Source organism: Homo sapiens, chromosome 16, assembly GCF_000001405.40.
Source record: "Homo sapiens chromosome 16, GRCh38.p14 Primary Assembly".
Taxonomy (NCBI): domain Eukaryota; kingdom Metazoa; phylum Chordata; class Mammalia; order Primates; family Hominidae; genus Homo; species Homo sapiens.
This window is the reverse complement of record NC_000016.10, coordinates 57,757,934-57,782,871: the sequence shown is the minus strand read 5'-3', so window position 1 is coordinate 57,782,871 and position 24,938 is coordinate 57,757,934. Positions and strand designations below refer to the sequence as shown.

At 55.0% G+C, this 24,938-nt stretch overlaps 1 protein-coding gene and 1 non-coding gene across 40 annotated transcripts in view, besides 4 other annotated features; both read left to right on the top strand.

Annotated features, from left to right (window-relative positions):
• KIFC3 (kinesin family member C3) overlaps positions 1–24,655 on the top strand; it is a 104,642-nt gene extending 79,987 nt beyond the window's left edge. For 16 of the 39 annotated variants that reach the window (XM_011523075.2, XM_005255937.2, XM_006721188.2 and 13 more), the window contains 16 exons: positions 10,584–10,649; positions 11,186–11,329; positions 11,435–11,674; positions 12,172–12,345; positions 12,917–13,064; positions 13,147–13,277; positions 15,887–15,998; positions 17,232–17,413; positions 18,625–18,729; positions 20,602–20,732; positions 21,336–21,459; positions 21,701–21,830; positions 21,917–22,146; positions 22,456–22,590; positions 23,036–23,144; positions 23,963–24,655. In XM_011523075.2, the coding sequence (XP_011521377.1) occupies positions 10,584–10,649; positions 11,186–11,329; positions 11,435–11,674; positions 12,172–12,345; positions 12,917–13,064; positions 13,147–13,277; positions 15,887–15,998; positions 17,232–17,413; positions 18,625–18,729; positions 20,602–20,732; positions 21,336–21,459; positions 21,701–21,830; positions 21,917–22,146; positions 22,456–22,590; positions 23,036–23,144; positions 23,963–23,988 (2,187 nt within the window). In that variant the 3' untranslated portion in view covers positions 23,989–24,655. Of the gene's footprint in view, positions 1–502; positions 1,034–2,180; positions 3,512–5,617; positions 6,387–7,793; positions 7,893–10,583; positions 10,650–11,185; positions 11,330–11,434; positions 11,675–12,171; positions 12,346–12,916; positions 13,065–13,146; positions 13,278–15,886; positions 15,999–17,231; positions 17,414–18,624; positions 18,730–20,601; positions 20,733–21,335; positions 21,558–21,700; positions 21,831–21,916; positions 22,147–22,455; positions 22,591–23,035; positions 23,145–23,718; positions 23,748–23,962 lie in introns of those variants that run through there. The other 23 variants (XM_011523076.2, XM_017023221.2, XM_047434083.1 and 20 more) reach the window with 15 other exon arrangements.
• Positions 6,495–7,073: an enhancer, noted in NCBI's record as "NANOG-H3K27ac-H3K4me1 hESC enhancer chr16:57809711-57810289 (GRCh37/hg19 assembly coordinates)". NCBI's record gives its function as "activates a minimal SCP1, AML or CMV promoter by ChIP-STARR-seq in naive H9 embryonic stem cells {active_cell/tissue: H9 hESC(naive)}" and the evidence as "EXISTENCE:reporter gene assay evidence [ECO:0000049][PMID:30033119]".
• Positions 6,495–7,101: a biological region, named in NCBI's record as "NANOG-H3K27ac-H3K4me1 hESC enhancer GRCh37_chr16:57809711-57810289".
• Positions 7,042–7,101: an enhancer, noted in NCBI's record as "active region_10913". NCBI's record gives its function as "activates an Ori minimal core promoter by ATAC-STARR-seq in GM12878 lymphoblastoid cells {active_cell/tissue: GM12878}" and the evidence as "EXISTENCE:reporter gene assay evidence [ECO:0000049][PMID:35858748]".
• Positions 7,652–8,230: an enhancer, noted in NCBI's record as "H3K27ac-H3K4me1 hESC enhancer chr16:57808554-57809132 (GRCh37/hg19 assembly coordinates)". NCBI's record gives its function as "activates a minimal SCP1, AML or CMV promoter by ChIP-STARR-seq in primed H9 embryonic stem cells {active_cell/tissue: H9 hESC(primed)}" and the evidence as "EXISTENCE:reporter gene assay evidence [ECO:0000049][PMID:30033119]".
• Positions 10,520–10,583, top strand: MIR6772 (microRNA 6772). Its single transcript, NR_106830.1, has one exon. It is a non-coding gene; the product is annotated as a microRNA 6772 (primary transcript).

Below are 24,938 nucleotides of genomic sequence, written 5' to 3'. Positions count from 1 at the left end.
CAGGTTCAATCGATTCTCCTACTTCAGCCTCCTGAGGAGCTAGGATTACAGGCATTCACTACCATGCCTGGCTAATTGTTTGTATTTTTCAGTAGAGACGGGGTTTCACCATGTTGTTCAGGCTGGTCTCGACCTCCTGACCTCAGGTGATCCACCCGCCTCAGCCTCCCAAGGTGCTGGGATTACAGGCGTGAGCCACCGCGCCCAGCCTGTCCTTGAACCTTCTGACTGCAGCTCTTTTCTGGAAATTTCTCAGGGGATGTATCTGAAGCTCCAGGTCTCTGAGATACTCTGGAGGGCCCGACCTTGTGGAGATGTGGCCAACCACATGGGCCTGGAGCTGGGTTCAAACCCTGACTTTGGCACTACTTATTAGCTGTGTGACCTTGGGACAGTTAATTACCACTCTGCAGGTCAGTTTCCTCATCTGTGAGATGGATGTAATAATAGGGTGTGATGAGATGATCCCTAGTGAGTCATTGGTGTTGCTGTGGCCACCACCATTGTTGTTACTGGGAGAGTTTTGGATTTGGAATCCCGTGAGCAGGATTCTATTCTGGCTGTGCCATGTGCCAGCTGGGCAGCTGTAGGAAGTCACTTCCTCTCTGAGCCTTCACTTCCCAGTCTCTAAACTGGGGCTCACAAATGTCGCATTGCAGTTTGGGGGTGGATCTGTTGTAAGAATGGACAGAAAAAAGATGGTCAACTGTAATGTGTGGTGCATCGTGAGCTGTCACTCCCGTGTGCCCTGGTCTCCTGCTGGCCTCACTGTGGTTTGACTCAGACTTGGACTTTCCTGGAATTCTGAACTTTGCCTCTCTAAGCAAAGCCCGCCAGGGGGTACACTCTGCCTTGTTTTCCATGGTGCCGTGTTTCCAGCCCTATCCACCACTGGCTTCTGATCGGCTGCTTTCTCACACTGCTGTTCCTGCAAGGCTGTGTGGCCCCATGGTTAAGGGTGAGGGTTCTGCAAGGGTCAGCCAGATGCGAGTTCCGGTCCTAGGTCCACCACTTACTGGTCAGGTGACCTCAAGTAAGTTGCCTAACCAAGGCTTAACCTCTTAGGAGCTCAGTTTTTCTTCCTGTAAAATGGGGATAATAATAGTACCTACCTCAGGGGAATAGGGGATGAAAAATGGTCTTATGAAATCCCCCTGCCCTACTGGCAAAGCCAACTCAGTTAACGGGGCTCCATTATCACTGTTGGGACCTGGGCTTGTGGGAGCTCAGGAGTCTTCTCAGACCTCCTCATTGCTGTGCCAGGTGGAGGAGGTGTTTGTATTTACTGAGAGCAGTTGGGCCAATGGCCCATAGTCCTTGAGCACCCAGCTGACCCAGGCCACAGAGGCTGCTCATCTTGGTCTGGTGACCACAGGAGGCTGTGGCTGTTGGGATGACCCTCCCCAGTGTTGTTAACAACAGTCCCAGGCCATGTCCTGCTGGCCTTGAGTTCCCCTGTCCTCTTGTGAATGTCCCTAGAGCCATGGCCTCAAGGTTCCTGAAGTTCCCAATAATGTGACATGCTGCCCAGACCTCACTACACTCCTTTTTTATTTTGAGGCAGGGTCTCACTCTGTCACCCAGGCTGGAGTGCAGGGGCGTGATCACAGCTCACTGTAGCCCCTGCCTCCCGGGCTCAAGCCATCCTCCCACCTAAGCCTCCTGAATAACTAGGACCACAGGTGTCCACCACACCTGGCCCACTTTTGTATTTTCTGTCCAGACGGAGTCTTGCTATATTGCCCAGGCACGTCTCAAACTCCTGGGCTCAAGAGATCTGACTGCCTCAGCCTCCCAAAGTGCTGGGATTACAGGCATGAGCCACTGTGACCGGCACTCACGGCACTCCCTACCTGCCCCCTGCACCTCAAGAGTGAACCTTAAAAAATTGTTTTCAGGCCAGGTGTGGTGGCTCACACCTGTAATCCCAGCACTTTGGGAGGCCGAGGTGGGCAGATCTTCTGAGGTCAGGAGTTCGAGACCAGCCTGGCCAACATGGTGAAACCCCGTCTCTACTAAAAATACAAAAATTAGCCGGGCATGGTGGTGCACACCTGTAAGTCCAGCTACTAGGGAGGCTGAGGCAGGAGAATTGCTTGAACCCGGGAGGTGGAGGTTGCAGTGAGCCAAGATTGCGCCACTGCACTCCAGCCTGGGTGACAGAGCAAGACTCTATCTCAAAAAAAAAAAAAAAAAAAAAAAAATTTGTCTTCAGAGACCACAGGCTGGAAAACTAGATCTTGCCCTCAAATGTGTCTTGTTTGGCTGCTGCCTTCTTCTTTTTTTTTTTTTTAAATCATTTTAAAAATAGACGTAACATAAAATTTACCATCTTAAGCATATATATATATTTTTTTTCTTGAGAGAGAATCTTGCTCTGTCACCCAGGCTGGAGTGAAGTGGCATGATCTCGGCTCACTGCAACCTCTGCCTCCTGAGTTCAAGGAATTCTCCCACTTCAGCCTCCTGAGTAGCTGGGACTACAGGTGCACACCACCACACCTGGCTAATTTTTGTATTTTTAGTAGAGATGGGGTTTCACCATGTTGGCCAGGCTGGTCTTAAATTCCTGACCTCAGGTGATCCACCTGCTTAAGCCTCCCAAAGTGCTGGGATTATTGGCGTGAGCCACCGCGCCCGGCTGATCTGAAGCATTTTTGAGAGTAACGTTCAGCAGCAGTACATTCTCATTGTGCAACAACCATCACCATCTGATACAGTTTGGCTCTGTGTCCCCACCCAAATTTCATCTCGAATTGTAATCCCCACATGTCAAGGGAGGGACCTGGTGAGAGGTGAACGGATCATGGGGTGGTTTCCTCCATGCAGTTCTTGTGATAGTGAGTTCTCATGAGGTCTGATGGTTTAAAAGTGGCAGTTTGCCCTTCATGTGCTCACTATCTCTCTCCTGCCGCCATAGAAGACATGCTTTGTGTCTCCTCCTCCTTCTGCCAGGATTGTAAGTTTCCTGAGGCCTCCCCAGCCATGTGGAACTGTGAGTCAATTAAACCTCTTTTATTTATCTATCTATTTATTTATTTATTTATTTATTTTTATTTTTTGAGATGGAGTCTCTGTCTCCCAGGCTGGAGTACAGTGGCACAATCTCAGCTCACTGCAACTTTCGCCTCCTGGGTTCAAGTGATTCTCCTGTCTCCGGCTCCCGCATAGCTGGGACTACAGGTGTACACCACCACACCCGGCTTTTGTATTTTTAGTAGAGACAGGGTTTCACCATGTTGGCCAGGCTGGTCTCAGACTCCTGACCTCAAGTGATCCACCTGCCTCGGCCTCCCAAAGTGCTGGGATTACCGGTGTGAGTCACCATGCCTGATGAAACCTCTTTTCTTTATAAATTACCCAGTCTCAGGTATTTCTTTATAGCAGTGTGAAAACTGACTAATACACCATCCATCTCCAGAACTCTTTTCATCTTCTGCTACTGAAATTTGGGCCTCATTAAAGAGTAACTCCTCATTCGCCATCTGTCTCCGTGGGTTTGACTGCTCATGTAAGTGGAATCATCCAATATTTGTCCTTCTGTGACTGGCTTATTTCACTTAGTATAATGTCCTCAAAGTTCATCTATGTAGCATGCATCAGAATTTTCTTCCTTTTTAAGGCTGAGTAATATTGCATTGTATGGATATACCACGTTTTGTTTGTTTTGTTTTTCCATTCATCCATCCATGGGCTGCTTCCACCTTTTGGTTACTGTGAATAATGCTGCTATAAACATGAGTGTACAAGTATCTCTTTGAACCCCTCCTTTAAATTATTTTGGGTATATACCCAGAAATGGAATTGCTGGATCATATGATAGTTCAATTTTTAATTTTTTGAGGAACCATCATACTGTTTTCCATAGTGGCCGCACCATTTTACATTCCCACTAACAGTGCACACGGGTTCCAGTTTCTCCATATCCTTATCAGCACTTGTTTTTCATTTTCTTTATTTATTTGTAGAGATGAGGTCTCGCTATGTTGCCCAGACTAGAGTGCAGTGGCCGTTCATGGTCATAGCTCACTGTAGCCTCTGAACTCCTGGCCTCAGGCAATCTTTGTGCCTCAGCCTCCTGGAGTAGCTGGGACTCGCTCCTGCTTATTTTCATTTTTGTAACAGCCATCCTAATAGGTGTGCAGTGGTATCTCATAGTGGTTTTGATTTGCATTTCCCTAATGCCAGTGATATTAAATATCTTTTCATGTGTGTTTTAGTTATTTGTATGTCTTCTCTGGAGAAATTGCTATTCAAGTTCTTTGCTCATTCTTAAATTGGGTTTGTTGTTGTTGAGTTATAGTTCTTTATATATCCAGGATAATAACTCCTTATCAGATAAATGATTTGCGAGTATTTTCCACGTGTTGCCTTTTCACTCTGTTGATAGTGTCCTTTGTTATACAAAAGTTTTTAATTTTGATAAAGTCTGACTTACCTATTTTTTCTTTTATTGCCTGTGCTTTTGGTGTTATATCCAAGAAGTCATTGCCAAATTTAATGTCATGACATTTTCTCCTCTATTTTCTTCTGAGAGTTTTATAGTTTTAGCTCTCACATTTAGGTCTTTGGGGTTTTTTGTTTTTTGTTTTGACACAAGATCTTGCTGTATTGCCCAGGCTGCAGTGTGGTGGTATAGTCATGGCTCACTGTGGCCTTGGCCTCCTGGGCTCAAGTGATCTGCCCGCCTCAGCCTCCCTAGTAGCTGGGACCACAGGCGTGTGCCACTGTGCCCAGCTAATTTTGGTTACTTGTTGTAGAGACAGGGTTTCCCTATGTTGCCCAGGCTGGTCTTGAACTCCTGGGCTCGAGCACTCCTCCTACCTTGGCCTCCCAAAGTGCTGGGATTACACCACGCCTGGCCCTCTTTGATCTATTTTGAGTTAATTTTTGTATATGGTATAAGGTAAGGATCCAACTCCATTCTTTTGCCTGTGGATATCCAGTTTTCTCAGCACCATTTGTTGAAAAGATTATCCTTTCCCACATTAAATGATCTTGGCAACCTTGTCAAAAATCATTTAACCATATATGCGAGGGTTTATTTCTGGACTCTGTATTCCATTCCATTGCTCTTTATGTCTGTTTTAATGTCAGTACCACACTGCTTTGATTGCTGTAGCTTTTTTTTTTTTAATTTTTTTTTTATTTGAGATGGAGTCTTGCTCTGCTGCCCAGGCGGGAGTGCAGTGGTGCAATCTCAGCTCACTGCGACCTCTGCCTCTCGGGTTCAAGCGATTCTCCTGCCTCAGCCTCCTGAGTAGCTGGGATTACAGGCGCCTGCCATGAGGCCCGGCTAATTTTTGTATTTTTAGTAGAGATGGGGTTTCGTCACGTTGGCCAGGGTGGCCTCAAACTTCTGACCTCAGGTGATCCGCCTGCCTCGGCCTCCCAAAGTGCTGGGATTACAGGCATGAGCCACCGCGCCTGGCCAATTGCTGTAGCTTTTTAGTGAGTTTTGAAATCAGGAAGTGTGAGACCTTCAGTCTTTCAAGACTGTTTTAGCTATGTGGTGTCCCTTGATATGGATTTTTCTATTTCTTTAGAAAATGTCATTGGGATTTTGTTAGGCATTGCATTGAATCTGTAGATCACTTTGGGTAGTACTGACACCTTATCAATATTAAATCTTCTAATCCATGAACATGGAATGTCTTTCCATTTATTGGTGTCATCTTTAATTTCTTTCACCAATATCTTGTAGTTTTTAGCATACAATATTTAACCTTTGTTAAGTTTATTCCTCGGTACTTTATTCTTTTTGATGCTATTGTAAATGGAATTATTTTCTTAATTTCCTTTTTGGATTGTTTATTGTTAGTTGTAGAAATGTAACCGATTTTTGTGTGTTCATTTTGTATCCTTCAACTTTGCTGAATTTATTAGTTCTAATTGCCCTGCTTTTAAAATCAAATTAATTCCAACATTCAAATCTTAATTAAATTCACATAAAACTCTAGACTTCCTTTTTGTCATAAAATATTGGAAGATGTGGCACCTCTGAGCTGACATTCCCACATGGCACCCACCGCTTGAGGTCTAGTGGCAGCTCCTGCCTTTGGTGGAGGTGACCATCCTTTAGCACGCTCCAGCCCCACCACCCTTTCTGTCTCTGCTTACCAACCTCATCCACAAGTTCTGCTCTGGCTGGCCCCTCATGCATTCAGCATTCTTCCTACAGGTACTTACTGAACACCTACTGTGTACCAGGCACTGTTCCAGGCACTGGGAGTACAGTGCTGAACACAACAGACAAAAATCCCTGCCTTCGCATATATCATCTCGTTTAATCCTCGAGACAGCTTCCATGAGGTAGCCTCATTATACAAATAAGGAAACTAAGAGACATAGAGAACTTAAGAGACTTGTCCAAGGTTACCCAGCAGGTAAGGGGATGTCTGGATTAGAACCTGGGCAGCCTGGCTTTAGAATTCGAATTGTCAGCTGCTATTACTGCCCATCAGTGGCGGAAGGACCCAGAGGTGAAGACTTGGCAACAGAGGCAGGGTGGCGTGGACAGGGGACAGATAGGCCTGGCCGGTGGTCATACAGCCAGGATCAGGCCTTCTGTGGGCTCCACAGGGTGTGCTCCCAGGGCCGCCCCGCTGGCCTCTGGGCTGAGTTTCCTTGAGGTTGTCTGGATCCCAGACCCTCTGGCCTTCCCAGCTCAGCAGCTTCAGCCTGGGAGAGCCCGCTTTTCCTCAGCAGACAGCTGATGATCGTTGACTGGGCTTGGTGGGAGGTAAGGAGGTAACCAGCAGGTTTTCTTTCTGTGATGGTAAGAGGCCGCCTTGGAAGCAGACAGCTGAGAAAACACAAAGACCTGGGCTGGCTGGCCCCACCCTTGGTCGAGCCGCTTCTGCCTGTGAAGTGTAAATGCAGGTGGTGTCAAGCCGGCAGACAGGCCCAGCTCCCTCTTCCCCTTGAGCAGGCAGGGTGACGCCCCCTGCAGCAGGCCCGTGATTCAGTTGCTCTGGCTGATGAGGAGCCTGGGCCCGGGAGGAGTGTCGCACAGCCCCAGCCTGGTCCGTCCTCAGCCCTGGATTGACGTCCATGCTGTCCTGGGACCGTTTCAGCCGCCTAGTGGGGAGTCTGCTTTCTCCTCCGTCCTGTGTCTTGGGCTCAGGCATGTGCCTGCTGCCCCTTTGTGGCCACAAGTATGTATCGGGCCCAGGGTGGCACTCGGGACCCTCCCCTGTTGGGCTTAGAGACATGGACGGCCCTTGCTGGCTGGAAGCTGCGGTGAGTGTGTGAAGGGCCCTCAGTCTTCCCTGAGGAAGGCCCTGCCTGCTCTTGGCTCTCACTGCTCCCAGGCCATCTTCCATCCGCTTTCCCCAGGTGCCTCCGTTTCTCTCTGACTTCTTGCCTGTTTTCCCTAACTCTGAGAGATTGCCTGCCTTCAAGTGCAGGAGAAAGCAGACATCTTCCCTACAAGCCCGAGACCTAGCCCCCAGTAGAGCTGGCCAACCACCTGCCACGGAGCAGGCCACTGGTGCCTTGGCCAGAGTGCTCGTGGTGCCAGTCTGCTGCGTCTCAGTCACATTCCCCCTGCTTTGCTGCCCTCAAGAAGCCAGAGATGACCTAGTGTCTGACACCTCTGAACAAAGGGGCCTTTAGAGCCCCTTCCTCAACTCCCTCACCATCCCCCATGCTCCCCAGCCTGCCCTGGTTGCGGTTGCGGCCACTTCCTTTTGGGTGCCCCTCTGAGATTCTGGACAGAGCCCAGGAGCCCCCAGGTTCCCATTGTGATGCAAGGACAGAACAGAACCCTGGGCCGCAGGCAGGTGGCTGGTGGGTATCCCGCCTCCCACCCCCAGCAAACACTGGCAAACCCCACTCTCCCTGCATCAGGGTCTGAGTGCCTGGCAGGGGCGGCAGTGGAGATGATCAAGGTTAGTGCGCCCAGCCCCATGCTGAGGCAGCAGCCTTTCTGGGGAGGGAGGGGGCGTGGAAGGAGACTTCAACCTTTTGAAGAGGAAGTCAGTTCACTTATGTCAGGGTAGGGAGAGTAGGAATTACGTATTCTTTGAGACTGAAAAATTACTGGCCGGGCGCAGGGGCTCACAACGGTAATCCCAGCACTTTGGGAGGCTGAGGCGGGAAGACTGCTTGAGGCCAGGAATTCAAGGCCAGCTTGGGCAAAATGGCAAGACCCTTCTATACATTAAAAAAAAAAAAAAAATTAGCCGGGCGTGATGGTATGTGCTTGTAGTCCCAGCTACTCGGGAGGCTGAGATGGGAGGATGGCTTGAGTCCAGGAGGTCTAGGCTGCAGTGAGCCTAGATCGAGGCACTGCACTCCAGCCTGGGTGACAGAGTGAGACCCTGTCTCAAAAAGAAAAAAAAAAATTACTGAAAAGCATAAAGATTTTGTCAACTATAATTCCACAGCCCAGAGACCCCCACTTTTTAGTGCTGTACACTTAATGGTTTTTCAGATGTTTCTTGGACTTAATATGTTGATGAGCCTTTCCCCATGACATTTAAAACTCCTGATAAACATGAATGTAATGATGACAGAATAGTCTATGTACTATATATACACATTGTAATTCACCTGCCCACTCCTCTAAGGGTGCTTATTCAGGGTATTCTCAATTTTAGGACGAAAGCAGAAAGGCTGCCTCATGCAAACTGTCCCTACTCCCACCCAGGGGCCAAAGGACTTGAGCCGTCCTCTCATCAGGCACTGAGCGGGCAGAGAAGTGGCACAAGCTCTGCCTCCCTGCCTGGCCCGTGGCCCAGCGTGTTGCTAGGAAGGAATGTGTTTGTGCAGGTGGCGGCAGAGCTGACCTCCAGGGGTCTGGCCCTTGGGTCACCTGCTTGTCCCCCAGGAGGCCTGGCTGGGCCCCCAGCCTTTCACCTGGGTCTTGCATCTTGGAATCCCCCTGCCCCACCAAGAGCAGGCAGTGCCAGCTCCCTGGCCTTTTCCTCAGAGGTGGGGGTGGATCCCTTGGTCCACTTCCTCCCTGACCACTCAGAGCTGGCCTAGCTGCTGTGAGTCAGCCGTTCTCTCCCACCCTGGGAGACAGGGACCTCCGAGGCCGAACACTACCTTGTTTGATGACACAGACTTGTTTGATGACATCTCAACCATGTAAAGTAGGGAGATTTTACACACACCCCCAAAATCCAAATGTCCGGCCTGTCTTAACTATGGCTGATGCATGCTGCTGAGTGCTAAGGGGGCGGACTCTAAGCCTCTATTTTTATTTTATTTTTTTTAGACAGCCTCGCTCTGTCACCCTGGGGTACAGTGATGCTATCATAGCTTACTGCAGCTTCAAACTCCTGGGCTCAGGTGATCTCCCACCTAACCCCCCGGATTACAGCTGGGATTATAAGCGTGCACTGGTGCACTCGGCTGAGTTTTGAAACTTTTTGTAGAGATGGGGTCTTGCTGTGTTGCTCAGGCTGGCCTAGGCCTCTCTTGAAAGATGAGAATTTTGGCGATGCTGGGTGTGCGTTCTCACCTCCTGTCGTCCGAGGAGAGTACGTGGTGGCCGCCTTCTTAAAGGGTTCTTGGGAGCCAAGCCCTGCACAGCCCCTCACCTGCCTTACCTGGCTGTCCCCTGTAATCAGTGGACGTTGTTGCCTATCATTTAGTAATGAGAACCCAGCTGTGTAAACCTCCTAAACCACCACACAGGAATCTGGCTCTTAGCGCACCTTTCCCGAGGTGGGGGTTGCTCACCACAGGACGTTCTGCAAGAAAAGTACTAAACATGCCCTGACGGAAGCTGGAGCCAAAGTCTGTGTCTGTGAATTGTTTCCTGAGAGAGGTTTCTGGGGGTGGGCTGATGTGAGACCAGGGTCTAGGGCCTTGGGAGGGGATGGGTGGCTGGAGGACAGCGCCGGGGAAGGGTTGCTCCCCTGGGATCTGCCCTCATGGGACTGGCACCATGATGGTGTCCCCTCTTCTGGGGTCCGGATAAGCTAGGTAACCGTGGCTTCCTCATGGGGTGCACACCCCCTTCCCCCTATAAGAGCCTTGGCTGCCACAGCTTTCCTGCAAGGCAGATTGGGAGCAGGGGTGGACACAGGTTCTGAGTGTGCCCTGACCACTGGCAGACCCATCTCCACAGGCTGACTTGCCAGAGACCACCCCAAGTGGAAAATTCTGGGGGCTGGGCCAGGGTGGATCTAGGGCTCGGAGGACCTGGAGTATGTACCATCTGGGGGCCCTTTTAAAGAGAGAGAACATAAAATTACATAGACACAGGCAGGTACAGGACTTTGGGAGGGGCTCGTGTAGTGAGGGGTCCTGAGGGTGGGCTGCCGTTGGGTGGGCCCAGGGGGCATCGGGGTGGCCTTGGTTGCACTTGCCCTCTGGGCTTTCCTGAAGAGCTGGGGTTGGCTCTGTCCTGTGGAGGGAGAGGGTGCGGGAGGCTGTCAGCACCAGCCCAGGTTTCTCTCACCTGAAGTCCCAGGTGTGATGGGATGCTTGAACATAGGGGAACCTAAGGCCACAGCCTTAGAAGAAGCCACAGCCACATCAGTCATCCCTGGTGCTGGGCAGGAGGCCTGGGTGTAGGCTGGAGCTGAGGACTGAGGCTCACCTTGCTCCTGACTCTGTGCCCACAGGTAGAACACCTGAAGGAGAAGCTCATTAGCCAGGCCCAGGAAGTGAGCCGACTGCGATCTGAGCTGGTGAGGCCACAAGGCTGTCCTGGGGTAGCGCAGGGCCTGGCCTGCCTTGTGCAGATGGGCCCTGCCAGGGGCAGGGGTGCGACCCTCTCTCTCCTGAGCCCGCATATCCCACCCTGTCTCAGAAACACACCGAGAGCCTTATCCCCACCTCCTAGTACCCTCAGAGGCCTTGTGGCTCCAGGGGGTGGGAGGTTCCTTCTCTGTTGCTGACATTAAACGGGAGTGTGAACCCTGGTATAAATATGTCTCTCCTTGTGACTTTCACACTCAGAATAGGGTGGGGGCAGCAGGGAGAGCAGGCTCTGGGTCACCACCCTTCTCAACTCTGCCCTCCACTGTCTTTCTCTTGGTTTCTCTCTTGAGCTTGTTCCCTCCTCTCTTGCCCTTGCCTTTTTCTTTTTCTTTTTCTCCTTCCCTCTGCCTTTCTCCACACCTCTCCTCTCTTCCCTGCCCTTGTGCCATCTCCGCGGGCCTCTCTTCTTTCCCCCGTCATCTGCCCTCGCCACATGCGCCCCCTCGGCCCTGGCTCTCTGCAGGGGGGCACCGACTTGGAGAAGCACCGGGACCTGCTGATGGTGGAGAATGAGCGACTGAGGCAGGAGATGCGGCGCTGTGAGGCCGAGCTGCAAGAGCTGCGCACAAAGCCAGCAGGTCCCTGCCCAGGTTGTGAGCACAGCCAGGTGAGCAGAATGGCCGTGGTCCCCATGCTGGTCCTGGAGGGCCACCCCAGCTCCTCACAGTGAGCCTGTCCCTTGCACTCATCCAGTGCCTCCCAATGGCTGCAGGAGAGCGCCCAGCTCCGTGACAAGCTGTCCCAGCTGCAGCTGGAGATGGCGGAAAGCAAAGGCATGCTGTCAGAGCTGAACCTAGAGGTGCAGCAGAAGACCGACCGGCTGGCTGAGGTGGAGCTGCGACTCAAGGACTGCCTGGCTGAGAAGGCACAGGAGGAGGAGCGGCTTAGTCGGCGCCTGCGTGACAGCCACGAGACCATTGCCAGCCTGCGGGCCCAGTCCCCACCTGTCAAGGTGAGCCCTGGCCCACCTGATCTGTGCCTCAGCCCAAGGCCCCTGGCACCTGGGGCAGGGCTAGCCCATAAGGGGGGCTTGTCCTGGTGAATAGGTAGGTGTGTGTGGGTGGAAGAATCATTCCAGTTCTGTGCTTGGTCCTGCCCCTTCCCCTTCCTGTATCCAGGGCCAGGCACCGAGTAGGTATCCAACAGCTGAGGTGCCAGGCACAGATGCAGCGCAGCCCCTGGATTCTGCCCTCGTCTTTTTGCCTTTCTTGTCTGTACCCAGGATGGGGCCCCAGCCAGGCTCATAGTAGCCTCTTGTTAAGCTGAGAAGGTTCCAGGAGACCCCCCCAGCTTTCTGGAAAGCCAGGACCTCAAGGCTCCTCTAGTTTTTTTCTGGTTTCTGAGTGGGATGTTCCCGAGAGTTCCTTCCCCTGGCCTGCTGCGTCTCAGGCTCTTGGGTGAGGTACGGTGCCCGCTGGCTCCACGTGCCATTCCTCCCTCACCCTGCAGTATGTCATCAAGACAGTGGAGGTGGAGTCGTCCAAGACCAAGCAGGCCCTCAGCGAGTCCCAGGCCCGGAACCAGCACCTGCAGGAGCAGGTGGCTATGCAGAGGCAGGTGCTGAAGGAGATGGAACAGCAGCTGCAGAGCTCACACCAGCTGACCGCGCGGCTCCGGGCGCAGGTACCCAGGCTGTGTGGGGGCACATGCCCAGCCAGGAAGCCAGAGGCAGGCCCTTGGGCCAATGCATCGGTTAAACATTTGGGTACCCCACAGACACGGGGTCCAGTCCCTCCTCTCCCCGATGGCCACGGGACCCAGGGCAAGTTTTGTCTGGTTTCCTTTTCCTCATCTATTATAACACGATCTGGTCCCAGAACCCACCTCACAGTGGGGACTCAGGAACGTCATCCCAAGAAGCTTTGTGCCCACGGCCCAGCACACAGGCTGTGCTCAGTAAGCTCTACATGGCACTTGTCACTGTCATCACAGAGGCCCTCTCCTACCTTCCTGAGGGCACGTGGCTTGGGCACCTGATGTGTGCTCAGCACTGGGTTGGTGTTGGAGCCAATGCCCAGAGCTCACAGCCCTGTAGGGGGAGGGAGACAAGGCCATTCTGCCCCTCTGGGTGTGCACATGTGTGTGTGCATGTGTGTTCATGTGCATGGGAGGTGACCAGTTTCTTTCTCGGTGTGGCACCTGCCCCTCTCTCTCCCGCACCTCGAGGTACTGAGCCTTTTCCTGGTCTGGCCAGATTGCCATGTACGAGTCAGAGCTGGAGCGGGCCCATGGGCAGATGCTGGAGGAGATGCAGTCCCTGGAAGAGGACAAGAACCGGGCCATTGAGGAGGCCTTTGCCAGAGCCCAGGTGGAGATGAAGGCTGTGCACGAGAATCTAGCAGGTGAGCTGACCAGCTGGGCCCTGTCTGCCCCACGCCGCGGCCCCTCATCCCCTCCCGCCTCACAGCCCGAGTGTCCCCATAGGCGTCCGGACCAACTTGCTGACCTTGCAGCCGGCACTGCGGACCCTCACCAACGACTACAATGGGCTCAAGCGGCAGGTGCGCGGCTTCCCACTGCTGCTGCAGGAGGCCCTCAGGAGTGTCAAGGCCGAGGTGAGCGAGGGCAGTGGGTGGGAGGGTCCAGGCTAAGGGGGTGCACTGGGAGAGGCACGACATCCACTCAGGGCGTCCCTCCAAAGCTCAGACAAAGCCGCTCAGACAGCAGCCCCTGCCCCACCCCCCATGACACTTACTGCTGCCCTTATAGGCCCTGTTTGAAACTAGACTGCTCAGGGCAGGCATTCGGCTATTTGTCTTACTATGATTCTTTAAACCAAACATGTTACAGATAACTTCATATTTCAAACATGCAGGCCAGGCGCGGTGGCTCACACCTGTAATTCCAACACTTTGGGAGGCCGAGGCAGGCGGATCACTTGAGGTCAGGAGTTTGAGACCAGCCTGGCCAACAAGGCGAAACTTCGTCTCTACTAAAATTACAAAAATTAGCTGGGCATGGGTGGCAGGTGCCTGTTAATTCCAGCTACTCGGGAGGCTGAGGCAGGAGAATCACTTGAACCCAGAAGGCGGAGGTTGCGGTGAACCAAGATCATGCCACTGCACTTCAGCCTGTGTGACAGCGAGACTTTATCTCAAAAACAAACAAAAAACATGCTACATACGTATTTTTTAAAAAAATTATTTATTAGAGACAGGGTTCATTATGTTGCCGAGGCTGGTCTTGAACTCCTGGCTTCAAGCAGTCCTCCTGCCTTGGCCTCCCGCAGTGCTGAGATTATTGGTGTGAGCCACCATGACTGGCCGATACAGTCTTACCTCTGTTAGGTTTAACTTAATTCTTTCAAGCTGTACTTGTACATATGAGAATAACCAGTGCCTCTTAAGTGCCTCCTACATGTCGAGCTGTTTATAGCCGTTAGCTCCTTGAATTTGTATGATAGCTTTGCAAAGACTAATATATTTTGGGAACAGAATATAGTTCTTCTCCTTTAAAAGACTATATCAGTAATACATGGACGTGGTGAAAAGTCAAACTCCATAGCAGGGCATCAGGTGAATAGGAAAGGCCTCTCTGCCACCCACCCAACTCTTCCAATGTGGCCTCTCAGCATTTCCCCCGACTGTTCTGAGCATGCTTAAGCCAATTGTGCGTGTGTGTGTGTGTGTGTGTGTGTGTGAGAATATATGGTAGGCCCTTCCCCCATCCACAGGTTCTGCATTCCCAGATTCAAACAACCACAGATCAAAAATAGTTGAAAAAAATTAACAGTACAACAATTAGAAATAATAGAAATAAAAAATAACATATAACAACTATTTACACAGCATTTTTTTGTTTTTGAGACAGTGTTTCACTCTTGTTGCCCAGGCTGGAGTGCAATGGCGGGATCTCAGCTTACTGCAACCCCCACCTCCCGGGTTCAAGCGACCCTCCTGCCTCAGCCTCCTGGATAGCTGGGATTACAGGCGTGTGCCACCATGCCGGGCTAGTTTTGTTTGTTTGTTTGTTTGTTTTGTATTTTTAATAGAGGCTGGGCTTCACCATGTTGGCCAGGCTGGTTTTGAACTCCTGACCTCAGGTGATCCGCCCACCTCCGCCTCCCAAAGTGCTGGCATTACCGGCATGAGCCACTGCACCCAGCCCCTACCCAGCATTTTCATTGTATTAGATATTATAAGTAACCTGGAGATGATTTAAAGTACATGGGAGGGGCTGGGCACAGTGGCTCACACCTGTAATCCCAACACTTTGGGAGGCTGAGGCAGGAGGAGCACTTGAGCCCAGGAGTTCAAGACCAGCTTCGGCAACATAGTGGGACCCCATCTCTACAAAAAAATATAAAAAAACTAGCTGAGTGTGGTTGCCTGCACCTGTAGTCCCAGCTACTCGGGAGGCTGAGGTGGGAGGATTGCTTGGGTCTGGGAGGTCAAGGCTGCAGTGAGCCAAGATAACACCACTCACAATGAGTTTCCACCACATCCATGGAGCTGTGATTGCACTTCCAGCCTGGGCAACAGAGCAAGACCCTGTCTCAAAAAAAATAAAGTATATGGGAGGATGTGTGTAGGTTATAGGCAAACACTATATCATTTTATATCAGGGGCTTGAGCATCTGTGGATTTTTGTATCCTCCACGGTTACTAAGGGAAGACTGTATACACTGTATACACTTCCCTTCTACTCCAGAAAGGGGATGTGTGATTTGTGTACAGTGTGATACTGTATGTGTGATTTTGCATCTTTTTTCTACCTGTGAAATGTAACTGGGAGATCTTTACAGATTCATGAGTTAGATGGTATTATCCCTGCTTTCCAGATGAGAAAATTGAGGCTTAAAGACATTGAGCCAGTGGTCTCAGGTCCCCAGCTACTCAGGGGCAGAGTTGGAATTTGAGTCTGGCTGAATCACATAGTCAAGCACTAGTGCTGTGGTGTGGAGGGCTGAGTCCTGGCTCTATGCTTATTAGCAGAGCAGCCTCAAGCTGTCAGCTTAGTGTCTGCGGCTCAGTTTCATCATCTGTAAAATGGGGATGGTAGCAGTACCTACCCAGAGGGGTGATTGGGACAGTCTGACATGTGACAGCGTGTGTCAGGTACTCAGCCAGGGGCAGGAGGCAGTGAGCACCCCTCAGGGGTGGGCAGTCAGGCCGGTAAGGCTGATGGAGCCGTCCCCCTGACAGTGGTGTGCACCCCCCACCAGATAGGCCAGGCCATCGAGGAGGTCAACAGCAACAACCAGGAGCTGCTGCGCAAGTACCGCCGCGAGCTGCAGCTGCGTAAGAAGTGCCACAATGAGCTCGTGCGGCTGAAAGGTGACTGCAGGAGGGCTGGGGGTGGGCGCTGGCCTCGGGGTCCTCGACCTGGCTTGGCAGTCATGCTTGGAGCTCACCCCACCATTGAGGCACTATTCTAATCCTATCTCTGTAGATAAGGAAACAGAGGCACAGAGAAGGCAGGGAACTTGCTCAAAGCCACATGGATATTAAATGGTCTGCCTTGGATTTGAACTTGAGTCTGTCCAGCTCAGAAGCCCTGGCCCCAGTGCCTGGGCAGGTGACTCCCCAGGCCCTGGGTAGCCGAGGGGTGTGGTGTTGCAGCATTGGGTTGGTGGCAGCTGGAAAGCCGCTTATTCTGACCTGGGGCCTGGTCAAGCTTGAGACTCCACCATTCACTGCATGGAGCTCTAGAGTGCCTGCTCTGTGCCAGGTGCCGTTCCAGCCCGAGGCTATGGTCGTGGCCCCACAGACTGCCTCCCGGTGCACACTTTAGTGTGAGAATCAACAATGATGATTGTCAGGGAACCCCAACCCTGCCCCCTTCCAGGGCTGAGACAGGCTTTCCTGGGTATGGGACAGGCAAGTGTGTTGAGGGGCTTCCCAGAGAAGGCAAAGTTAGAGCTGAGACCTGGACAGTGAGCTGGAACGGATGGGTGAAAAGGGAGGGCAGGTGGGCCATGCTGGCAGTGGGGGGTGTTTCCTCTTCATTCCAAGAGCACAGGGATCCCAACAAAGGCTGGAAGTAGATGGCGGCATGACCAGCTCATGCTGCCAGATACCCCTGTGGCTGCCCCACTATCTGGGCCCTCAGATACACCACCAGTCATCACCTGCTGCCTGGGCCTATATGCCCATCTGATTCCTAAGCCCTGTCCTGCCATTCAGGACAAGGCTCTTTGCTCATTGGGGCCCAAGCCCCTCATTGTCTGGATGAAGAAACTGAAGTCCAGGGAGAAAAAGAGTGTCCGTTCTGGTGTCTCACCCTGACGGGGTGCAGTGCTTGAGCCCCACAACTGACCTTTCCTCCCCATCCCCAAGGCAGAGCTCCACCCCAGTCAACTGGTCTGTTCAAGAAGAAATGTACTAAGTGAATTCATACTATAGTGTGAATGACGGATAACAGCTTTGTGGGCCCCCTTCCCCTAGGGGGCTGTGCTTAAAAGTCAGGGGACTCCTAGGTCAACTAGTCTGCCTGGGACACCAGTGGACCAGAATGGAGACTGGTCTTGACATGGCCTGGACCCATTTCCCCATCCCCAACCAATCCAGGGAACATCCGAGTGATTGCTCGTGTCCGGCCAGTCACCAAAGAGGATGGGGAAGGACCTGAGGCCACCAATGCTGTGACTTTCGATGCCGACGACGACTCCATCATCCACCTGCTGCACAAGGGCAAGCCTGTGTCCTTCGAGCTGGACAAGGTCTTCTCCCCACAGGCCTCGCAGCAGGACGTGAGTGTGGCCCCATGCGGGAAAGGGAAAGCAAGGGAGAGAGGGAAAGATGGACTCACAGGGAGCGGGGGCGCTGGGCAGGAAGAAGCGTTAAGAGTGGGGGGTGCAGGAATCAGAAGTGGGGAGCCAGGGTCCTGCTCCTTCCTCTGGAGGACAGAAGAGGGTGGGAAGTTAAGACTGAAGCCCTTGAAAGCCTCCTTAGGAAGGAGAGATCCAGACACAGCCCATCCCCTCCCATGGCTGTGGTTCCTCCCGTCCCCAAGGCCCCTTCTACCGTGTGGCCCCGCCCACCCTTGAGGCCCTTCCCACTATCGTAACTCATTCCATTCTCTCAGCTGTGGCTCCTCCCACCATGTGGCCCCTCCTATATCCACAGCCCCTTCCACCACATGGCCTCACCCACAGCCCCTCCCACCACCATGGCTTTGGGTCCTCCCATTCAGGTGGCCCCTTCCACTGCATGGCCCTGCCCACTCCCAAGGCCCCTCCTACCATCACAGCCCATCCCACCCTCATGCTGTGGCTCCTCCCATCTGCATGGCCCCACCCACCCTCAGGCCCCTCCCATCTTCCCACCATGTGGCCTCACCCACTTTCAGGCCCCTCCCACCATCACAGCCCCTCCCACCCCCATGGCCACCCACATGGCCCCATCCATCTTCATGACCCTGCCCATCTTCCCCATCCGGGAATACCCTCCTGTATCAGTCCCCTGGGCCTTCCTAGGAATCCCCCAACCCCCTGAGGCTGTATGAGAACCATGTGTTCTCAGTGTCCACTCTTCCCTTATCTCTGCCCAGACCAACCTGCCAGCCCTGCCAGGCCTGTGCCCTCCTGTTCTCATGTCTGGTTCTATCTTTGCCCCCATCCTCTGATGGCTGGCAGGCAGGCCCAGGCCAGAGAGGCCCCAGGCATGTGCTGGCCTCCACCTTCCTTGTGCTGAGCACTCTTTGAGAGAGAGCAGGAGGAGCTGGGGGAAGGGCAGCAGGCACTGGCCTGTCTTCCCTGCAGTCTTTGGGCGGCCCGGTTGCCCACTACTGTCTAATGTATGACTCATGAGTCACGAATCATTGTGAGCTGAGTGACTGCAGTAACACGTGATGTGGTGTTGCTGAAGGACAGCATGGTTGGGGAGGTGGCTGGACTTGTAGCTGGTGGTCCCAGCGGCCCTGGAAGCCCCCCCACCAGCCTCCCTCCCACCACCCTCCCAGGTGTTCCAGGAGGTGCAGGCCCTGGTCACCTCTTGCATTGATGGCTTCAATGTCTGCATCTTTGCGTACGGCCAGACGGGCGCCGGCAAGACGTACACGATGGAGGTGGGTGCTGCCCAATGGGGTGGGGGTTCACAGTGAAGCATGAAGGGAATGCGGGCTCCCTCATTGGTCTTGGGGTATTGTGCAGTGTGTGTTTTGCCTCATTTGGTCCTCACAACCCAGGAGCAGAGGCTGTAGTTATCTGTGTTAGCCCTGAGGCACCAGGCCTTAAGAGGGGGCCCCCTTGCCCAAGGGCACCCACAATGGGCCCAGCAGGACTGGGAGAGAGGCAAGGGGGGACTATCATCACAGGGATCTCGGCTTGGGGACAGAGTCTGGGGCAGGCCACCGACCTCTCTCAGGACCAGGGCTGCATTTCACCTTGAGTGTGCACTGCACACTCCTGCTTTACCGCTGCCTTGGGCCGGGCCTGGGGGATCTGGGATGAGTGGCGGGTCTCAGTCCTCAAGGAGATCCCAGGGCAAGACTGGCATATGAAGGCTGTTGTGGGGAGCCCAGCTCTTGCCGGTGGTCCCTGGGGCCAGGCCAAGGCTTCCTCTCCCTGCTCGTCACCGGCACCCTCCCAGGTGTGGTGGAGCAGGTGGCAGGCCAGGGAGAGGGGCGTTGAGACTAGGAAGGATCTTGACTGTGGGCAGAGGGCAGTGGAAAGCTAGCCCTGGCTCTGAGGGGTGCTGTGGGATTGATTCCCTAGGTCAGGAGGAGGCCAGGTGGTGTGGCGTCTGGACAGGGGAAGGGGCTAGCCAGGCCTGCTGGGCGGCCCTCTTATTTCCCATCTGGACTCTGCTGTTCCCTCGATTCTGGGACTGGTGAGACTAGTTAGTGGGGGCAGGCCAGGCCAGGCAGGAGGAGGAAGGGGATGTGTGCGGCATCCTCTGGGCTCCCCGCTCTGCTTTGGGATTGCTTAGTGTTGAGGTGACCACCAGGAACATCAGAGCGTTCATCCTCAAGTGTATCTGCTGATGCATAAGGTGTATCAGGCATCGTGCCAGGCACAGCTGTGACCCAAACAGTCCCTGCCCCCACAGAGGGCCCTCCCCACAGGGCCAACCTGGCTGTGGGGAGACAGCAGGGTCTACACAAATCAGCAAGTGTCCTGTCAGGCCAGGGAGAAAAATAAAGCCAGGAATGCGGAACTGACTAGGGGGAGGGACAGGGCATTTGGGGGTGCTGGGCGAAGGAGCAGCCTCCCTGAGGGGGCATCTTGGGAGCAGCCTCCCTGAGGGAGATGACGGAGCCGGCCAAGGGGCGGTCAGAGGAGTACCCGGGGCAGAGGGAGCTGCAGGGCTGAGGCCAAGAGGCCAGAGCATGCCAGGGGCACCTGAGGCCCAGCCAGGAGGCCCCTGTGGCCGGAATAGAGAGTGAGTGAGAGGTGCTATCAGAAGAGGGGTGAGGGCCAGGCTCCCAGGGCCTCGAGGTCCCGGGTGGGGACTCCAGGTTTCCTTCTAGAAAGGCCGGCCCACCCGTCCTTCCCCAGGACACTGGCCCGCTCCTCCTTGTGCCTCCTCTCTACCACCCACAGAGCCCAGGTCTCAGCCTCCCTGAGACTGAGCGCCTTTCTGGGCAGTGGCGGGGTCATTCATTTCCAGTGCCCCTCCCAGGTGGCCCCACAGGGCCAGGCATGCATCTGGCCCTCAGCTGCCCTGTGTGGGGTCTGGGCCAGGCCCCTCATCCCAGTGCTGCACTATAAGTCTCAGGGTAGTCCTGGCAGGGCGATGCCATTTTAATGGTGGGGAAATAGAGGTGCAGTTGCCCGCAGCTGGTGGAGGGCATTTTGGGGGACAGTGGCAGGTAGGTAAGAGCTTTGGGCAAGGAGGCTTGCTTGTGAGGGGTAGTCAAGGGGCTTTGGGGACAGACACCACACGAGCGTCTTTGGGGACAGGCCTGGCTTACTGGGGCCTTTCCTTCTGTCCCCAGGGGACCGCTGAGAACCCAGGTATCAACCAGCGGGCCCTGCAGCTGCTCTTCTCCGAGGTGCAGGAGAAGGCGTCTGACTGGGAGTACACCATCACCGTCAGCGCTGCGGAGATCTACAATGAGGTCCTCAGGTGGGAGCCCCAGGGTGTGCGGAGCAGGCCTCAGGGGCAGCTTTGGGGTCCTCCGGGGTGGTGCTGGAACGAGGTCCTCAGGTGGGACCCCCAGTATGTGGGGAGCAGGCCTCAGGGGCAGCTTTGGGATCCTCAGGGGTGGTGCTGGAGCAATGGGGGATAGGAAGTGGGGTCTTCCTGAAGGGAGTGTAGGGACCAGATGAGGCCGTCAAGGTGAAGGGAGTGTAGGGACCAGATGAGGCCGTCAAGGGACCTGGCTGCAAGTCCTGACTCAGCCCAGTGGGTTGGATGGTTCTGGGGGGAGGAGGGGCTCTCTCTGAGACCCAGGCAATCCTTGCCCCTACCTGTGGGCTACACCAGGTGGCCATGGGTGAGAGTGGGCAGCTAGGGGCCCTGCCAACAGGGGCTCATTGTATTGTGGAGTGAGATCTCCACGTCTTCAGCTGAATGCGGTGGAGGAGCTGGAGGAGGAGAGATGCACTCAGCTGATGGCTGGAGAAGGCTTCCTGGGTTGGGGGAACATTCCTGGCTGGGGGGCTGGGTGCAGTGCAAACAGCAGCTGGAAATGGGAGGAGGGGGTGACTGTCTCACCTGCCCCTCCAGGGACCTGCTAGGGAAAGAGCCTCAGGAAAAACTGGAGATCCGGCTGTGCCCAGACGGCAGTGGGCAGCTGTATGTACCAGGGCTGACTGAGTTCCAAGTGCAGAGCGTGGACGACATCAACAAGGTGTGGAGGCGGGAGCCCCTGACCACAGCCACACTGCTCTAGAGGACACAACTGGGTTTGAATGTAGGCTCTGCTGTGTCCTAAGCACGCACCCTTGGGCAAGTCCGCACGCCTCTCTGAGCCTCAGTTTCCTCATCTAAACTGCGGAGGGTGGTGCCACTCCTCATGGGTGCTTGGGGCCAGGTGACTCTGAGGACCCCATTCTCAACGCTGTGCCTCTGCCCTCCTCCCAATCCCCCAGGTGTTTGAGTTTGGCCACACTAATCGCACGACCGAGTTCACCAACCTGAACGAGCACAGCTCCCGCTCGCACGCGCTGCTCATCGTGACGGTGCGAGGCGTGGACTGCAGCACAGGCCTCCGCACCACGGGTGAGAGTGGCAGGCAGCCTGGCCTGAGGATCCCCACAACCCCAAGGGGCAGGGCAGGCCTGATCTGGTGGGTGCCTTCCCTGCAGGGAAGCTGAACCTGGTGGACTTGGCTGGCTCGGAGCGCGTGGGCAAGTCGGGGGCCGAGGGCAGCCGCCTGCGGGAGGCGCAGCACATCAACAAGTCGCTGTCGGCTCTGGGGGACGTCATTGCTGCCCTGCGCTCCCGCCAGGGCCACGTGCCCTTCCGCAACTCCAAGCTCACCTACCTGCTGCAGGATTCGCTTAGTGGTGACAGCAAGACCCTCATGGTGGTACAGGTGAGGACCTTGGGTTAGGGCGGGCCAGTCCCTAGCATGTAGGGGCTACGCTAGCAGTGAGACCCAGTCACCCCAGGCTGTGCAAATGGACCTCCCCGCCCCTAGACCTGGCCACACACACCCTGTGTAACTCCCAGTCCCTCCTCTCCACCTTTGACCACAGCACCTCTGCCATGTTGCCTGCCCTCCCACCCCATCCCTCAGGCCTCTCCAGGAAGCCTTCTGACGGCCCCAGCTGTGAGCTCCCTCTCGTGACCCTGTTGCCCCTCCAGCTGGCCCGGGTGGGCAGTGAGCTCTCGTGTCCCCTAGGTGTCCCCCGTGGAGAAGAACACTAGCGAGACGCTCTATTCCCTCAAGTTTGCTGAGAGGGTGCGCTCTGTGGAGCTGGGGCCTGGGCTACGCAGGGCAGAGCTTGGGTCCTGGTCAAGCCAGGAGCATCTAGAGGTACGGGGACTGTCACAGGCCTGGCTCAGGTGGCCCTGGGTCAGAGACTTTGGGTCATGGCAGGAGCAGGGAGCTGGGCGGGGACGTCCTGAAGCAGTGGGGGCAGGGAAGCTGCCGGAGTTGGGTGGAGCTACGGCTGGAACCCACAGCCAGCAGCCTCTTCAGTACAGGTATTTCTTCTTGGCCTCGGAGGTTCCTGTGGGGTGACGAGCTGGCCGTGGGGGTGGCACATAGTAGATGCTCAGTGGTAACTAGTTGACTTCTTTACATGAATTATCTCATTTAATTCTTGCCATAACTGAGGCTGGGGCACAAACATCATGCCCATTTTGCAGATGAGGAAACTGGGTGTTAGGAGGCAGGGCAGGGGAGTAGAGAGAAGCACAGCAGGGTGGGGAGCCAGGGCAGCCGTGGCCCCCGCCCATCCGCCCTTCCCTGCTCACAGTGGGAGCCGGCTTGTCAGACGCCACAGCCCTCGGCACGGGCCCACTCAGCCCCCAGCTCTGGGACCAGTAGCCGCCCTGGATCCATCCGGAGGAAGCTGCAGCCCTCGGGTGAGCCTGGAGTGGCAGTGTGGGTGGGGAGTCTCCCCAGGGTAATAGTCACCAGGCTGCCCTTACCTGGATGGGCTTTCTCTTTTCTTTCCTTTTTAAAAAGTTCTTACACCTTCTCCAGAACCTGTTTTACAACCTCCCCTGCCCCCAGGCAGTAGTCAGGGCAGACAGTGCTGTGTCCGTTCTGCAGGTGGGAAATGGAAGGTCTGTGGGAAGGGGGCAGTGTAAGGAGACCCCAGCCTCTCAGCCGGGGGTGCTGACTCTACCCTGGGACCCTGCTCTCTGAGCATGGGCTGGCTGAGCCTGTGCAGTAAGCCCCCTCCAGAGCAGCCCCTGCAGCCCCCTCCCTGTGCCTCAGCTGCCCCGGGGGTAGAAAGGGCCGGGCTTGCCTACCTCCTAGGTGAGGAGTGAGCCCCGCCACAGGACCGGGACCCAGGGCTCCAGCCCCTGTTTAGCCCAGATCATGGGAGGGCCTGGCCCATCCTTGAGTCCAAAGGGGTAGCAGCAGCAGGGTCTTGTGGGGTACTGGCCCAAGGCAAGCCCACCAGTGAGACGCCTGTCACTTTGATTTCAGCCTGACGGCTGGGGCTGCAGAGTCTCTAGGTGAGTGTGGGGCCTGTGGCCCAGGGCTGCCCGCCTGCCTGCCCGCAGTGGGTTGCAGGGCTGCGCTGGGACGTTCTGCTGTTCAGAGCTGGGTCTAGCCCCTGCTGTCGCTTGTCTATGTGCTTTTGCTGGGTTCCCTCCTGCTCTCGGTGGCAACTGCTGTGGGCTGCCGGTGGGCAAGTGGACAAGAGGCTGATGATCTCATGCCCCTGCAGGGAAGTCGCGGCCACTGCCTGTGTGACGGATGTGACCCCGCTGGGCCTGAAGCTGGGCCCTCACTGGCCTGTCCCTGCTGCAGCGCCAGGACCCCCGGAGGTAGAGGCGAGAGTGGAGGCTCTTCTTCTGCCCCGTCTCCCCTCAAAGATGAGAAACATGTTCAGAAGGAAACGGTGTCTCTCGGCTGTGGCTCTGAGTGCAAATTGCATGGGCGGAAAGGCGGGGGTGGCTGCTCTTCCTGGCAGGCCTGGGCCATCAGCGAACTGGGCCCCGTGAGGAGGGCGGGAGTGTGGAGGAGGGTGGGCCTCTCACCCAGGCTTTCTCGGCCCCTCTCCTCAGCTTGCAGAGCTGGCCAGCCCCCTCCTTAGGGGGTGGGCGAGGAGCCTCTGGGCAGACCCAAGAACCATGGGGACTGGGGTGGGTTGGTGGCACCAATGGCAGCCCTCCCCGCCCCTCTCCTTCAAGGAGGGTTCCCGCAGCTGGGGGGTGTGCGGAGGCGCATGGCCTCCCGCCACGGGGCCGTGCTGTGTTTATGGCTGGCAGAGGCAGCCAGCGGGTGGGGGATTCTGCTGCTCGCTCACCTGCCTGGCTCGCTGGTCTCTCGAATTTTCTTCCCTCTGAAATCCTATTTAAGAACTTTTGGAAGCTTAGCCATTTTTACTTATTAAAATAAAAGAAGCCTTTTTACACAAGTATGGTCTGAAAAAGTTGGTCTGTGAGCCCCTCTTGGTCTGATTAGGGGGACGGGGCACTGGCAGGTCTTGTGGACTCCCCCGCTGGCTGGTCACCCCACAGCCCTCTGGGATCTGTCCTCTAGGTCAGTTAGGGACATGCGTCCTTAACAAACAACTGGGGGGAGCCTGCGCTGTCCCACCCTGGGTCACTTTCTCTGTTGTTTGTGGTCACAGTCGCCTCATGCGGTACCTACCATGTGCCCACGATAACTGACCTCCCAACAGGGGCATTCCTCCATGT